The 17,324-nt window shown below is 39.7% G+C and overlaps 1 protein-coding gene across 11 annotated transcripts in view; it reads left to right on the top strand.

The window, feature by feature from the left end:
- Positions 1-17,324, top strand: part of ACTA2 (actin alpha 2, smooth muscle) — a 56,264-nt gene that overhangs the window by 27,893 nt on the left and 11,047 nt on the right. For 5 of the 11 annotated variants that reach the window (NM_001320855.2, NM_001406462.1, NM_001406471.1 and 2 more), the window contains 2 exons: positions 14,492-14,643; positions 16,059-16,187. In NM_001320855.2, coding sequence (NP_001307784.1) covers positions 14,515-14,643; positions 16,059-16,187 — 258 coding nt within the window. In that variant the 5' untranslated portion in view covers positions 14,492-14,514. Of the gene's footprint in view, positions 1-10,671; positions 10,715-11,345; positions 11,491-14,491; positions 14,644-16,058; positions 16,188-17,324 lie in introns of those variants that run through there. The other 6 variants (NM_001406466.1, NM_001613.4, NM_001406467.1 and 3 more) reach the window with 4 other exon arrangements.

Below are 17,324 nucleotides of genomic sequence, written 5' to 3'. Positions count from 1 at the left end.
CCTTTCCTAGTAAGTCAGACTTACTCCTGACGAGTAAGAAATAAACTACTTTATTCATCTTATTATCTATGTAATAAGTACTATACTTGGGGACATGGTAGGCATTAAATAAATGTAAGTTCCATTCCCCTCTGAGAATCTCTGGAAATAAATTTACACTAAGACATTAGTAGGCATTTGCTCCAAACCTATGCTGCTCAAAAGCTTCCCAGAAAATTGGCATCCTGGAAATTTTCTGATTTTCTTACTGATATGGTTTGGCTGTGTCCCCACCCAAGTCTCATCTTGAATTGTAGCTCCCATAATCCCCATGTCATGGAAGTGACCTGGTGGGAGGTAATTGAATCATGGGGGTGGGTCTTTTCTGTGCTGTTCTCGTGACAGTGAATAAGTCTCATGAGATCTGATGGTTTCATAAAGGGGCGTTCCAGCTTCATCCATGTGCCTTTTTGCAAAAAAAAAAATATTATATATATATATATATATATATATATATATATATATATATATATATATATATATATATATATATGGGGCATTCCCCTGCACTCACTCTCTTGCCTGCTGCCATTTAAGAAGTCCCTTTGCTCTTCCTTCACCTTCCACCATGATTGTGAGGCCTCCTCAGCCATGTGGAACTGTGAGTCCATTAAACCTCTTTCCTTTATAAGTTACCCAGTCTCAGGTTATGTCTTTATTAGCAGCATGAGAACAGAGTAATACACTTATGAAGTTTATTCCACATCATGGTAATCACGTGCTGATAAAATGGTCATTTCTTTTTATTTTAGACACTGAAATAGTGTGTGACACTCTTACGTTCATACACTTGGGATATAACACCATCTGTGGTATTTGTCACCAAAGACAATTAGCCAAGAGCTTTTGTTACTACTTCCTTCCTAAGCAAAACTTACAGAACCACATCTAAGAAGCTGATAACAAAGTAAGGCAGGCAGATGCCTGTCTGAAATATCCTAACTGAGACTATCTCCTCTTTTTTTAAACCACTAATCCTTGATGACATTTCATACTTTTGTTTTCTTATTATTTAATTACCTATTGAAATACTGTAGGTTGGGTTGTCAGGAAGCACTGGAGCTGTGATTGGATTGGTTATTGTTTGTAGATCAGAATTTACAAACTGAAGACCCACAGCAAACATTGATTTAGCCTGTTGTCCTTTTTTAAAAATGTTAGTTAATTGCCATCATTTTAAATGAAGGGATTTTTGCACAAAGGTTACAATTTCTACCTTCTCATAAAAAGTGGAAGATCTGGCAACTCTGAACTAGCATTACAACAACAGATGGGGCTGAGTGGTGGCCAATCCCTTGCAGGAGACCTAGGTCCTCTGTTTATCAGAAGTACCACTTGGCCTTTTCAGTCATCCTTGCCCCAATAGGCATCTGAATTTGCAAAACTTGTCTTAGATTTTGGAATATAGATTACTGATGCATGGCAAAAATATCATATAAAGGGTGTGCACACAGAGAAGTTAAGAAGTTAAGAAGTAGAAAGGCAAATCAATGCAGCCATTATAATCCTGTCATTTATATTTTCTAAGGCACCATCAGTAAACACTAAGGTTTGTGATTTTCACTGAATAATAAAGCCTAGTACCTTTTCATTGAAACCTAGCAAACACCATCAGAGAATAAGGACAAAGGGAAGACTGCATAGAATGTCAGAACTAGAAGAAAACTGAGAGGTGAATTAGCACAAAGTCTTCATTTTAGGAAAGATTATTGAGATTCAGAGATGTAAAGATCTTGTCCTCTTTCATAATAGCATCTTGATGGCAAAGTCAGGACTGTGGATCTCTACACTGAGGGTCTCTCTCTTACTCTGTGGCTATTCTTGCCTAAGTTATGTCTTCCTCTGATGTGTATAAATCAGCCAGTTTAAGAAAAGCATCACACTCTTCTAAGTGCACATTGCATATGTGTAACAGCTGACACTGATGAAGAAACAGAGATGAGCAGTGACATCCCAGACAGTTGGCAAGGTGTCACTCATACTATATCAAGAGGATGGAAAGTGAAAGAATTAAAGGATACTTAAAAGTCTCTTCACATTTTCTACATAGTACACAAACCTTTTCTATAATAGCCCTGAGGTCATCTTGCATCCACTTACTTAATTCAATGGACAAAACACTCACTATCCCATAAGGCAATCTGTCCTCTGTGTTGCTAGGTTGTTAGAAACTTTAACTTATGTTTCTAGGTGAAGGTGAAGGAAATCTATTTCTCTGTAGACATAACCCATGAGTGCTACTTATATTTTCACAGGGAACATGAAAGACGCTCACTCTTCTACCTCACATCACTTCAGTGCATTAAGTGTCTCCCCATAGTCCTCACTTCTGACTAAGCATTCTCAGTTACTCAGAGCTGCTCCTGGGTGTGACCAGGCTTCTAAACCTCCCACAATTCTCAACACACACACTCCTTGATTACTAAAATTGAACAATGCACTAATTAATGTTCTGAGAAACCAAGAGGTTGAGTCTCTAACTGTAGCTTTACCAAAGCCAAGCAGGGATCCAGAGAACAGAGACTTTCTGTGGCTTATAAGCAGCAATAGTAAAACAATTTCCCCTTGGTAAGATAGCTTTGTTACTAGTTCAAGGAATCCACTAGTGACAAATGAGTTTCTGAATCACCCTTTACACCGTAAACTAACTCTGCTAACGACTTAGTGAATGTTTGTCATTGTTGTCAATAATGGTATTGTAGCTCTAAAGTGTCCTGTACATGCCAATGGGTCATGGTGGTCCTCTTCACATGGCCATATATTCCAGGAACCTTCGGGCCACCAGTTCCCTATTTCTCTACCTGATACCACTGATATTTTGTCTTCTTTAGGGAATGCCTCTTGGTCGCTATGATTTTGGTCCAAAGCACTATATGTATCCTTCTTGGTATGGCTTTTTTCTCCTCCAATATGCTGGATTCCAACTCCAAAACACTCGGTGGTAATATCAACAATTCTATGTTTATTCACTGTTTTGCGTTTAGAGGAGCAGTGATCTGGTTTCTAGACTAAATAAGTGACTATCAGCTAGTCTTCACAGAAGTCTAGCAAATCCGCCAGTTCACCATGTCATCCACACTCAGAGAATCAGGGTCAAACTGGATGTCATGTGGTTCTGCCTCCTTCAGCTGTTTGTCTGAGTGATTCCCAAATTTTGTTATGAATAAGAATCATTGAGGATTGTATCAAAAATAGATTTTTATTCTGGATAATTTATATAAATACTCTGTCCTCAAGGGGGTGAAGTGTAACTCCCCATTCTTTAAGTGTGTGCTGTACTTAGTAACTACTATCCAAAGAGTATAGTATGGAAGATACTGACAGAAAAATAATTTTACAGTAGAGAAACCTGGCAAACATTAGTCAAGTGATTAAGATGAACATCTATAGTGATAAGTCATCCTGGTAGCATCTTGTCTTGATATCAAGGGATGAGAATAGCAACTTACCTCTAGGGTCTTTTTCTCAAAAACATGTGATTTCAGTCTAATCATGAGAAAAACATCAGACAAATCCAAACTGAGAGACAGTTTACAAAACATCTGATCAATACTCCTCAAAACTGTCAAGGTCATTAAAAATAAGAAAAGTCTGAGAAACTGTCACAGCTAAGAGGACATGGCTAAAGAGACTTGACTTAAATGCAGCATGGTATCCTTGAACAAAAAAGGAACATTAAGTAAAAGCTGAGGAAATCAGAATGAATTCTGAAGATTCCTTAAAAATGTATAAATATCAGTTCATTAATTATGGAAAATGTACCACAGTAATGTGAGATGTTAATATTAGGGGAAACTAGGTGTAGGGTACATGAGAACTCTCTGTATTATCTTCACAACTTTTCTATTCTAATATGAAAAGTTTATTTTGGAAAATTGACTCTAAGGTCTTCTCCAGGGATTGTAATTTAGGAGGTGTTTTTAAGGGGAAAGAGAGTCAGCTTTGCATATTATTAATACACTCCTCTGTTGATTCTGATGCAGTCAATTCGTAGGCCATATTTTGGGATCCCTGGTCTATTCTGAAGGTTCTTATTCTTGGATACACATTAGACATCTGTGTCCCATCTCAGATGCTCTGATTTAATTGATCTAGAGTGTAGCCTGTGCATTGGGATTTTTTAAGCCCCTTAGGCAATTTCAGTTGCAGCCAAATTTAAAACTTATTACTCCTGTGCTGTCCAATATGGAAGTCAGTAGCCACATGTGGCTATTCAAATTAAAATGTAATTAAGATTAAATAAAATTTAAAAAGCCTATAGACATTTCAATGATCAATAGTCACATGTGGCTAGTAGTTACTGTATTGGACAGCACTGATGTTGAATATTTCCGTCATTGCAATAAGTTCTGTTGGACAACGCTGGTCAATACCATTGGTATAAATGGCTTGTTTGTGGTCTTCTCCAAAGGCTTCTGAAAGGAAGAGTCCCTATGAGTAATATACAGGACAGGCTGCTCTAATCATTGGTGATGATTCAAATAATCAACTCATCCTAGATTTCCTGGGACTTTTAAGGCACTGAAAGTCTCATATCCTCCCTTCCCCCCGAGGACCGAGGAAACCCGTCGGGTACACCAGGAACCTTGGTCATCCTGTAGATCCAAAGTCTTTTGTGAAGGAGAGCTTCAATCACTAGGAAGCTGGGGCAGTTGGGTCTAGTCAGCTTGAGAGAAAAGAGCTAATACTGGGTTCACTTGAGCTAGCTGGTGCCAATATTGTCCTGTGTGCCCAGGCTTTCATGAGGCAGGGATGTTGAATAGTGAAGTCATCTGCTTTTGCTTGATGATTTAACCTCACGCTCCCTACTACCTGGGTGGAGCCTGACATACAGGCCACTACCCACACCTCTGTGCATGTGCTTGAACTCAATTTCTGGTGTCAGATGGGTCTGGGTTTGAATCCCTGCTCTACCACTTACCAGCTCTGGGGCCATGCAAGTTATTTGGCTTATCTGATCCTCCATTTCCTCATCTGTAAATGGGAAAAATAGTATTCCTTATGGCTGCTGTGAGGATTAAATGAGTTTATGTATGTAGAGCAAATAGCTCATAGCATTGTCTGATAACTATTAGTTGACTTATTTTTATTTGCCCTCACTTCAGAATATCCTTGACCATTTGCTAAGCATTTTCTGTGCTTTATTCAGTTCAGTTCAATCAACATTTACTGAATGTTCCAGGTTCTAGGAATGCAAAGACGAAATCAATTTAGTCTGCCTTCAAACATATTATAGTTGGACATATTATTATAGAACAATATAGTGAGTGCTACGAGAGAGGCAAACACAAAGTAGTATGGATAAACAGAGGAGGCACCCTTAACCAAAATTAGTTGGGTAGAAGTGGGTAGGGAGTCACGTCTGTAATCCCAGCACTTTGGGAGGCTGAGGCAGGCAGATCACGAGGTCAGGAGTTCGAGATCAGCCTGGCCAAGATGGTAAAGCCCCGTCTCTACTAAAAATACAAAAATTAGCCAGGCACAGTGGCAGGTGCCTGTAATTCCAGCTACTTGGGAGGCTGAGGCAGGAGAATCACTTGAACCCGGTAGGCGGTTGTTGCAGTGAGCCGAGGTCGCACCACTGCACTCCAGCCTGGGTGACAGAGCAAGACTCCAGCTCAAAAAAAAAGAAGTGGGTAGAGAGGGCTTCCTAGGGGAAGGGGATACTTAAGCTGAGTTTAGGAGGATATGTAAAGTGTGCTAAAAGAAGAGATGGCATTAGGAAAGGAGTTAGAGGAGTACAAGGGGGAAATACTGTTTCAGGCAGAGGAGCAGCATGAGCAAAGGTCCTCAGTTAAGAGCTTGTCTGACTTGTTAATGGGAAAGTCCATTGTTCCATATCACCGGGGCAATGTTGGCACATATTAGTTGTGAGTTGGGGTAGATAAGGCAGGAGAGGCAGGAAAAAATGTAAGTGCAATTGACAAAGGAGTAATAGGTATTTTCCTTCTTTTCCAGGAATTTAAAACATCTTTTAAAGCTCTCTGTTCTTCATAGTTAAACCTAATTTCTCAAGTTATCTTTGGTGACAAAGAGAATGCTAAAAGTTGTTCTGTCTCCTAAATCTAACAGGTGCTATTCTGCAATCTGACATGTATTTTGTTCTTTCATAAACAAAAATAAAATGCAATAAAGTTCTTGAAGGTGCCTCGTGAATCTTATAAATACATTACATTATCTAGACATTCTGAAAAGCATAAAGGAGTGATACAAGTTTATTCCACTTTCCTAGTTGGCCATTACAGGATCATGGGCATGTAGCTTTACAGTTTTCTGATCCCTTTCCTAAGATAAGACTTGTGTACCGTGTCTTAAGTGTCTGCTACGATCTTAATATGTCTCCCAAAATTCATGTGTTGGGAACTTAAACCCTAGGGCAACAGTGTTGAGAGATGAGGCCTAATGGGAGGTGTTTAATTGATAAGGGCTCCACCTCCATGAATGGATTAATGCCACTATAAATAGGACTTGTGGGAGCAGGTTCACCTTTTCTTCCACCATGGGATGGCACATCAAGAAGGCCCTCACCAGATGCTGGCACCTTGATCCTGGACTTCCTGGCTTCCAGAAATGTGAGAAATAAATCTCGTTTTTAAATAAACTATCCAGTCTCAGCTATTTAGTTACAGCAGCACAAACAGTCTAAGGTAGTGTTTATTTAAGTGTAGTAAGTACATCTGATGCCAACACCATTGGTAGAAATACTTTTTGGAAACTGAGAAACTGGTATAAAAGCCTTGACATGTAATGGCAAACACATTGGGTGGTGAGATGGGGGTATGTAATAGGCGGGATAATGAATCCTCCCTGCAAGATGTTCACCTACTAATCCCCTAAACCTGTGGATATGTTACCTTACACACAAAATGGTGACTTTGCAGATATGATTAAATCGATAATCTTAAAATGGGAAGATTATGTTGAACTATCCTCGATTATCCATTAGAGCCCAATATATTCACGAAGGTCCTTCTAAGAGGGAGACAGGAGGATTAGTGTCAGAAAGAGAGTTTGAAGATGCTCTGCTGCAGGCTTTGAAGAAAGAGGAAGCAGCCATGAGTCAAGTGGACTCTAGAGACTAGAAAATACAAAGACATAGACCCCCACAAGAGCTTCCAGAAGGAATGCCTTGATTTTAGCCCATTGAAAACCTGTTTTGGACTTCTGACCTCAAGAATTGTAACAGAATACATTTGTGTTGTTTGAGGCCAGTAAGTTTTTCATAATTTGTTAGAGCAGCAATAGGAAACCAACACAGGGTGTCAGAGTCTTCTGGGTAAGAGTTTACCTCTGCACTTTTGTCTGAAAAAGTGTCTGTCTCACCTCTAGAACTAACTTCCTCATTATGGAGCATCCGACAATAATAATAGCTAATAATTACATCGTGCTCACCATGGGCCAGGCAGTGTTCTAGGTGCTTCTAACCTATTAACGCCTCATATCTCATTGCCACCTTGTGATAAGGCATGAATATTAACCCTATTTTTCTTATAAGAAAGCTAAGGCACAGAGGGGATACAGTGGTAGTAAATGATAGCTTTGGAATTTCAACTCTGAATCATAACCCCCGTGTATTGATCCAAAATGTTTGCCTTTACACAAAGTCAAGGTCTGAGGGCCAATTGTCACTGCATTCCTTCCTCACATCCTCATGTTGCATGGTTTTTCTCACATTTAATATACCATGTATCTTCTCTCTGATCTTCTCACATTTTGAAATAAATGAAAACATTATGAAAATAAATCCCTGAAATACCAGCCTTTAGACCTTCATAGAAAGTGTCCAGTCAAATTTCCCATAAAGAATATTAATTATGCTCAAATGAGGAACAGAGCAGAGCCTGGCAAATCCCTGCAGATGTGGCAGGATGGCCATTGTGCCAGCGTAGACTCCATGCCTTTGTCTTCATGGGCTATCTTAGGAGAACTGTTTGTGACTCTCCTGGGGAATTCCAAAGGTGGGAAATGGAAAGGTTTCCTTGCTCTCACTGTGTCTTCTCAGAAAAATGAATTTTATGAACTGAACAAAATAGCCAATGCATATGATCAGTCTAGAAAAAAACAATTTCTACAGCCCAATTTTTCGGCACCAGCAGAAAATCATTTTCCTTACCAGACATCAATATTATACGGCTATTTGCCAGTAGTTACATGGCCTAATCTAAATCTACAGAGTGCTGCCCCAGCGCTCAAGGAATTTACAATAAATCATAACTAAATAATCTTACTAAGATGGTGCATGATGTTTGCAGAACAACGTGTCTGGAAATGATTGTTGGATATGTTCTTTAGCTTGGAATTTATTTTATAGTGTCCCTGAACTGCAACCAAGTTATCCGACACTACTGTTTTTCTTTCTTTCCTTCTTCTTCTTTTTTTTTTTTTTTTTGTGTGACACTACTGTTTTTCTAATTGTTCCATAACCCCTTGGATACATGGCTGCTGGCCCCAGGAAGTATCTGGCCGCTTGGCTGGAGATATCTTTGCACACACACTCATACCCATGCAGTGCTGGTTTCTCTCACTGAAGAGACTTGGATGGGATGTGAAACTATAAATCTCAAACCCAGGCAATAAGATCATTTAATCACTTGTTTAGAAATTTATTTTCAATTATAAGTCTTTCCTGGTTAGTGTCATAGATTATTTGAAAAAAAATCTTGCAAGAAAAACTAAACCTTGAGTCCTCTTCCAATATGTCTCTTTATTTCATCATAGTCTGATTATTATCAGAGCTTTGGATGTACACTAATGGTAGAAATGATGTAAGAATCATAAAAGTGAATGCAAAAACTCTTCTCTTTGGTGTTTAGATGAACAGTCACTTCATAAAGATCGCAAGGACTACACAGACACTGCGTGAGTCAAAAGCAGGAGGAAGGGGAATCCTTCCTCTACTCAAATTGCCCTCCTACTCAAGAAAATATGGAAATTTTGCTTCACATGATTCCTGTGATGAAAATTAATGAATTAACCCCAAATGCCCAACTTTATGTTGTACTGTGTAGATTTTATATTTTAACATTCTAATGGCCGTGTTTTCTGGTTGGTAAAAGCTAGACAAATCCCGAGCAGTATAGAGAAATCCTGTTATGATTTAGTCTTAAGCTATTTAAAATTTTCTAATCAATAGTGCAATTCTTCAAAGATATATATGTATGTATATGTGTGGGCACCATTAATCAAACAGATCTGACATAGTAACATGAGTGAACAGCTGGTCATGGCTGTAAAATAAAGCCACTCATTTTGGGATTTTTCTCACATGTCCACAGTCCAGAAATACTCACAGTACCCACAAAAATATTTCTTTATGAGTTTAGTGAGAACCTAGTAGACAAATATAAAATCACTGAAGCTATTCATTGATGCTTGAGATGAGGGCTTATATCTTTGAGAAATGAGAGGGTCACCTGGTATCTTAGTCCATTTTCACATTGCTATAAAGACATACCCAAGACTGGGTAATTTATAAAGAAAAGAGGTTTAATTTACTCACAGTTCTGCATGGCTGGGGAGGCCTCAAGAAACTTAAACTCATGGCAAAAGGGGAAGAGGCGTGTCTTACATGGCAGCAGGCGAGAGAGAGCAAGCAAGAGCAGGGAAAACTGCCTTATAAAACCATCAGATATCGTGAGAACTCACTCACTTTCATGAGAACAGCATGGGAGAAAACGCCCCCATGATCCAGTCACCTCCCACCTAGCCTTTCTCTGGACATGGGATTATGGAGATTAGAATTCGAGACGAGATTTGGGTGGGGACGTAGAACCAAACCATATCACCTGGTCTCTCTACTTCCTGTCAAGGAGGTTAGTGGGCAGAGAGGAGGGCTACAGAGGCTTCCTTTGAACAATCTCCTTTCTTTTCCAAACTACTTCTTTGACAGGCTGCTGGGTAGACTCTCTGGTCAAAGGATGGTCCCTACTTATGCTGCTAAATTGCTCGGTGACAAATTAGTAGACAAAGCTAATGCACCAAAAAAATGAATGTAGTTATAGTAATGCTAACATCCAAATTCCTCTTTGTAAGACATAGGCCTGTCAACCTTGTCTCCATACTTCAATTCCTATTTCCACTCACCTCCCTCAAGAACTTGATTTATAAACAGTGTGCCTACCATAAAATCATCACTCCCTCTATGTATTTATAGACGACTGAAGGAATATCTTTCTTCTTTGCATGCTACCGTGGTAGAAGGGTTTTAAAAGTCCGTGCTAGGCAGAGGCAGCCCTTTCTGCCCCTTTCTGTTCTCAGTTTATTAGGAAATGGCCTGAAATTCCAGCATGATAGCAAGCTGGCATCCTCTGTGGAATGTGCAAACCATGCCTGCATCTGCCCATTACCCTAGCTCAGTGTCTCTGGGCATTTCTGCAGTTGTTCTGAAGGCTTGGCGTGTTTATCTCCCACAGGCGGCTGAACCGCCTCCCGTTTCATGAGCAGACCAGTGGAATGCAGTGGAAGAGACCCAGGCCTCCGGCCACCCAGATTAGAGAGTTTTGTGCTGAGGTCCCTATATGGTTGTGTTAGACTGAACGACAGGCTCAAGTCTGTCTTTGCTCCTTGTTTGGGAAGCAAGTGGGAGGAGAGCAGGCCAAGGGGCTATATAACCCTTCAGCTTTCAGCTTCCCTGAACACCACCCAGTGTGGAGCAGCCCAGCCAAGCACTGTCAGGGTAAGTGGCGCCAGGCCAAGGATGTGACTTATAGATTCCAGTGGCTCTTTTAATTACCCGGTATAATAAGACATCATCTGCAGGGATTTGGCTGGGTTCATGCACTGATATTTCTGAATGAAGATTGTACTACTAAAATGATTGTAGCTTTTGGCTTTAATGATCTAACGTTAAAGACAGGGCTAATATGTAGTTTGGTATGATGGAAGGGGTAGAGAAGAATATGAAAATTTTATTAATGCATGTCTTCTGTAAAATGTTCATCCTAAACAAACAGCCCAGATCTTGCAGCACAATACAGGTATGCAGGTTAGCTGTGTGCAGTAAGTTATACATTTATTTGTATTTAGGCACTGGAAACTCAGATTTCTTTCTGGTTCTGATTTGTTGTAGGGGTTTTCTTTCACTGGGCTGTATTTTTGGTGCAGCTTAGGTGTCTGGAAGTGGATTTTGGAAGTGAACAGAAGAATAGTTGCCTAGTCTTTGATTGTGCCTGAATTTGTGTATTCCCTTCTGGGTTTCCCTGGCTCTAACTGGTAGTGTCTTTTGTTGGAAATGTATATCTCTTTTTTGTTGGAAATGTGTATGTGTGACCTTACAAGTTTGGATCTACATCATTGGTCATTTGCAGCAGAGCGCAGCAGGTGACCTGCTGAATTTTTCTCTGGAAAGAAAGAGGGAGGGAGCAGAGCCTGCATCTGACAGCTGTGTGTGCCTCCCGGCCGGATATCTGGTTTGCATCTCCCTCAGCTTAAAGCTCCCTTCAGCCTGGTGAGGCAAGTGTGACTGTGCAGCCAGCCCTGCCAACCCAGGCTGAGTTTCACTGCAAATCAAGGTTTGGCAGCTTCAGCCCAGACTGGAGTTTTCATGCTGAGATTTTCCTAGCATTTTGTGTTTCATGACTAAATATGGTTTGTGTTTCAAGACCAATGAGCTGGGAACTGTACTGTTCTTTCCCCTCCCATCAACTCATTTTTGGCACAAGACGCACTCTAGTCAGTTGGAGCAAATCCCCTGACCCGGGTGCAGTTCCAAAAGCAGACACTCGAGCGTGTTTTACCTAATTAGGAAATGCTTTGCTCCAAACCGAACTGCTCATTCAGGTTAGAGAGGAGCTGTAAACCACTGAGCTGACTCTTTCCGGGGACACAGTGACTTCTTCAATGACAGTGCTCCTTTTGGACATTATAACATTCTTCCTAGATTTTCTTTTTCTTTTTCTTTTTTTTTTGGCCAAGTAAAAAACATTTTTCTGCATTCTTGCTGATGCTGAGGGCCAGTCTCCTTTTTCTGAGTATAGTCAACCCCTCCTCCCAAGCCATCACTGCCCAACAAAACAGTTATTAAAAATATCCCAGCATTCATGGTAACCATACCTTCCCATTTTCAGAGACCATCCTAATTTGAAATGTTTTATCCTCTTTTCAGCCCTTACTTTTGGTTTGGAAAATGCACTTAGCACATCCATAGAGTGCCTGCTTATCCCCTGGGGCTGGCTGCTTCTGACAGATACCCCAGGCTCTTAGGCTTCTTCCCTTTTTTCTCCTTTATAGTTCTCGCCTCTTTTCTAAAGCTTCTTAATCTGCTCTGAGGGAAGCCAAATCACAGGAATGCCAAAATAATTCAGCATCTGGAAAGGGAAAAGAAGGGTGGGAAAGGAAAGGGCAAGCCATTCATGAGTCCCATGTCCATTCTTGCAAGTGGAATCCACACGTTGATTATTTTTATTCTAAGCCTGGAGCAGTGTGGAAAGAAAGCAAAGGTTAGAAACAAAGAGTTCTGGATAATGAAAATAATCACACAGTGATAGTAATAATAATGATGATGAAATTAGTATTTATTGAGAACTTAGAGTATCTCTGCCACTATAAATTATTTTAAACACTTTAAAAAACCCAATCTCTATAAGAACTCCATGAGGTATGTCCTGATATCATTACTGTTTTATAGTAAGGAAATTGTGGTTTAGAGATGTTAAATAACTGAAATCACACAGCTTTTAACTGTTGGAGCCTGGACTCAAATCCAGGCAGTCTGACTTCAGAGTCTAAGCTCATAATCACTGTGATCTGAAATCTTCGTTGTCCTAAATGTATCAGTTCAAGGCTCTTGGACAAGTCACTTCAACTCCTTAAGCCTTGGTTTCCTTGTCAGTTGAAGATAATATTACATGCCTTGACTTTAAAATATGTCATCTCAATTGCAGTTTTATGTTCTTTGCAAAGAGTTATTTTACATGAAGCACTGCTAAGGAAGTTTTAGGCCTTTGGCAAGATGCAGGTTTGATTTTGTGGGAATGTTTTGGCAGAACTCCAACTCTGTAATAGCTATTTTATTTCCCTACTTCTCAGATGTTTCCTTAAAAGAACTGCCTTTTTTATATGGATTTGGAGGTGCAATCAGTTAACCCATTTAGAAGAAGAAATTTTCTCAATTTGAAATCCTAATTGAGATCTCAATGCCAGGCAGATAACTCTGGGTGTCCTTCTCTTAACGGAACATTTCGACCTAATTGTGATTAGAAAAGTGGAAGAGGTCTTGAACTGGAAGCCAAGGGGTGGCTAAAGAGTACCTGATGTCTGGCTGGAGCTCTGCCTCTAATGCCCTGTGTGCCCTTGAGCAATCACTTCCTGATTTTCTTATTTGTGAAAATGAGAGCATTGGATGAAAATGTCCTCTAATATGCCTTCAATTTCTCAAATTTGTAAGTTGATAGGCTGCTCCAGCCTTTCTAATTTTATGAAAGGATCCAAGTATAAGATCCAAGTATAAAATGGGTTATTTAAAATTTTGTTTTATTACCAAAGAAATACACATTCAATATAGAAAATTAAAAAAATATGACAGAACCATGGGAAAATAATTAAAAACACCTATAAAACCCACCACTTCATAATAACCTCAGTCAACATCTTGGTAAATATGATTAATCTTTTTGCAATGCATAAAAAATACATTTTTAATGAGATTTACAATGTTACTTTTTCTAACCTATTACTCTTACATAAGAACTACCTTTTGCTTATCCTCTTACTCTACCTTTTTAATGGCAGTAAAGTATTCTACCATATGATATATAATCCATCAGGCTCACCCTCACTTGTTGGACTGTTAGCTTAACAGTGACTTTTATTAACGGTGGATAATTGCAGCCCCTAAAATTTAAAGCACCTTCTCAGAAAATTTTATTTCAAAGCTTCTCTGAGGGTAAAGTAAAAGTCCTCATGATTCAAAAAGATTTTTCCATTAAACACTTGACCATTTTAACATTTCTAAATTTTTACATGCTGCCTGTCCCTCAAAAATCTAGCTTTTTGAAAAAATTTCAAAAAGGTATAGCATATCTAGAAAAATGTGCATTTGGGTTGATACAGACAGGAAAATCTAGATGCTTCTTTAACATAAGGTAGGCAACTTGTCTCTGCAAAGATCTGGTCTCAGACTCTGGATTTCCCATCTGTGCTCTGCAGTTTGTTTATTCATTCACTGGCTCTATCCACCTTTAAAGTGCTCACGAGAACACATGATATGCCGGTCACTACACTAAGGTTGTATCAACATAGAAGTCAGAGTTTCAGAAGTCAGAGTTTCAGCTTACTGAAAGCTTATAGTGTAACTAAAGTACTTCCAGATACATGCTATATTAGATAAGGGTCAGAGGATAGCACTAGGACACAGAGGAGGGCCCCCAAACCCAGCCTTGGAGGTGGGAGTTGTCAGGTAAGTGCCACAAATGCCCAATTACAGCTGAGGCTGCTTCCTCCCTGTTTTCTATAGAATCCTGTGAAGCAGCTCCAGCTATGTGTGAAGAAGAGGACAGCACTGCCTTGGTGTGTGACAATGGCTCTGGGCTCTGTAAGGCCGGCTTTGCTGGGGACGATGCTCCCAGGGCTGTTTTCCCATCCATTGTGGGACGTCCCAGACATCAGGTGAGGAAAATTATGATTGGAACATAACAGGACACAGATTAGGTTCCTCTGTGTTCATGTTTATCCCCAGATTGTCTATCTCTTTCTGCCCAGAAGTTATGTAACCTTGTTACAAATAGACCTCTAATGATTAAGGTCCAGGAGTAAATGCCAATTTCACATATAATGTAGACAGATTATCTGATGGGCATCTATCAGATACAAAGTCTGCCCCTTTTTCATGTCCTTTTTGTCTAAATATAGTCATTATCATCATCATCATCATCATCAAATCATTTCATCACCATCAGAAATGCTTATACATTATCCTGATGTATACCAAAGCTACTGTTTGGAAAGAAACTAAAATAAAAGTCCAGGTCACTTAACCATACAGGGCTGATGTTAGATGAAAGCAAGCATCGATACCAAATGCAATTTTACATAATATTACCTGTCAACAAAATATATTTGGACAGCCGCATGGTAATTTTACACATTATGTGTAAACAAAGTATTGGTGGCATCACATGGTAAAAACTCAGTAATTTCACCTCAGAAATTCTTCTTCACATCAGAAATGTAGTTTGTGCATTGAGGCTATCTGATTGATGTTTATGCCTCTCTGCTTGGGATATATTCATGAGAATAAATAATAGAAACCTCTCCCAATGAATGCAGTCTGTCTGAATTCATTGATCTTTATGCAGTGGAGATATTCTGCACAAGCCGCTATTTTATGGGTCCATAGTAGCCATGGCTGTTTTGTAGTTCTAAAATAGTCACTGCAGTGCAATTTAAAATCTAGTAACAATAATTTTTTAAGAACTTCACCTTAATGATTTTTTTTAAATGCAGCTGACTAATTTAGGCAAATGTCTTAACAGTTGATTGGTATGAACTTATCCATTAGAAATCAAGCCTCAAGTGGTTATTTGTAGATGCAATGCTTTTGCTTATAATAGTTAGAAAATAATGCTCATATTCTTTTGGGTAGGTGATGACTTTAAAAGTACAGTTTAAAGGATTTATAAGACACAAAATGCCATTTAACAAATATGTAAAATTGTATACATTCTTTCAACAAATAATTATTGAGTGCCACATATGTGCCATGCAATTTGCTATAGTGATGGACAAGACAGACATGATCTCTGCCCTAAAAAAGCTCATCAAGGAACATAGGAGATAAAAATACAAAGTAAAGTTGACTTTCCCCCAACATCTCCTGTTATTTGGAGGCAATTCAGGTCTTTTTCCAATCAACTGCAGAATTTTGCTTAAGAGCATAGTGGCAATGAGACTCAATATGTTTATTGTTGCTGATAATCAGAAGAGGAACTTCCCATCTCAATGACTTAACCTTTTGTGGCTTGGCTGTAATTGATTCACAAGTTTTGGGAGATGCTGACTCATAATGTGTTGAACCTTTTTAGGGGGTGATGGTGGGAATGGGACAAAAAGACAGCTACGTGGGTGACGAAGCACAGAGCAAAAGAGGAATCCTGACCCTGAAGTACCCGATAGAACATGGCATCATCACCAACTGGGACGACATGGAAAAGGTATGGGAGGTTTGCTGCAGCTTGGGCCCTCAGGATGCATAATCCCTGTGTTCTCTGATACAGAACACCACACTACTGCTGGGGAAATAACTGGCTCACATTGCTCAACTGTACTTTTACTTGTTAATGTTCATTCTGGGTTATTACCCATTGAAAAAAAAATCCTTGTAGCCATAAAAAATGATGAGTTCATGTCCTTTGTAGGGACATGGATGAAGCTGGAAACCATCATCCTCAGCAAACTGTCGCAAGGACAAAAAACCAAACACCGCATGTTCTCACTCATAGGTGGGAATTGAACAACGAGAACACATGGACACAGGAAGGGGAACATCACACACCGGGGACTGTTGTGGGGTGGGGGGAGGGGGAGGAATAGCATTAGGAGATATACCTAATGTAAATGACGAGTTAATGGGTGCAGCACACCAACATGGCACATGTATACATATGTAACAAACCTGCACGTTGTGCACATGTACCCTAAAACTTAAAGTATAATAATAATAAAATTTAAAAAAAAAAGAAAAAAAAATCCTAAAATGTTTCTTTAAAAAAAAATCCCTTGCCAGGCATGGTTGCTCACACGTGTAATCCCAACACTTTGGGAGGCCAAGGTGGGAGGATCGCTTGGCCCAGGAGTTTGAGACCAGGCTGGGTAACATAGTAAGATCCTGTCTCTACAAAAAATAAATGAAATTAGCCAGGCATGGTGGCACACACCTCAGTCCCAGCTACTTGAAAGATTGAGGTGGGAGGATCACTTGAGCCTGGGATATGGAGGCTGCAGTGGGCCAAGATCCTACTCCAGCCTAGGTGACAGAGTGAGATCCTATCTCAAAAAAAAGAAGAAAAAAATCCTGCAGGGCACAGTGACTCACACCTGTAATCTCAGCACTGGATCACTTGAGGCCAGGAGTTTGAGACCAGCCTGAGCAACATAGCAAAACCCTGTTTCTACTGAAAAAAAAAAAAAAAAAAAGGTTTAATTAACAGTGTGTGGTGGCATGCAACTGTAGTCCCAGCTACTCAGGAGGCTGAGGTGGTAGCATCATTCGAGCCCAGGAGTTCGAAGCTGCAGTGAGCTGATCATACCATCAGCTGTTGCACTCCAGCCTGGGCAACAGAGCAAGACTC

The sequence above is a fragment of the Homo sapiens genome, chromosome 10 (genome assembly GCF_000001405.40).
Source record: "Homo sapiens chromosome 10, GRCh38.p14 Primary Assembly".
NCBI classification, from domain to species: domain Eukaryota; kingdom Metazoa; phylum Chordata; class Mammalia; order Primates; family Hominidae; genus Homo; species Homo sapiens.
This window is presented reverse-complemented; position numbering and strand designations above follow the sequence as displayed.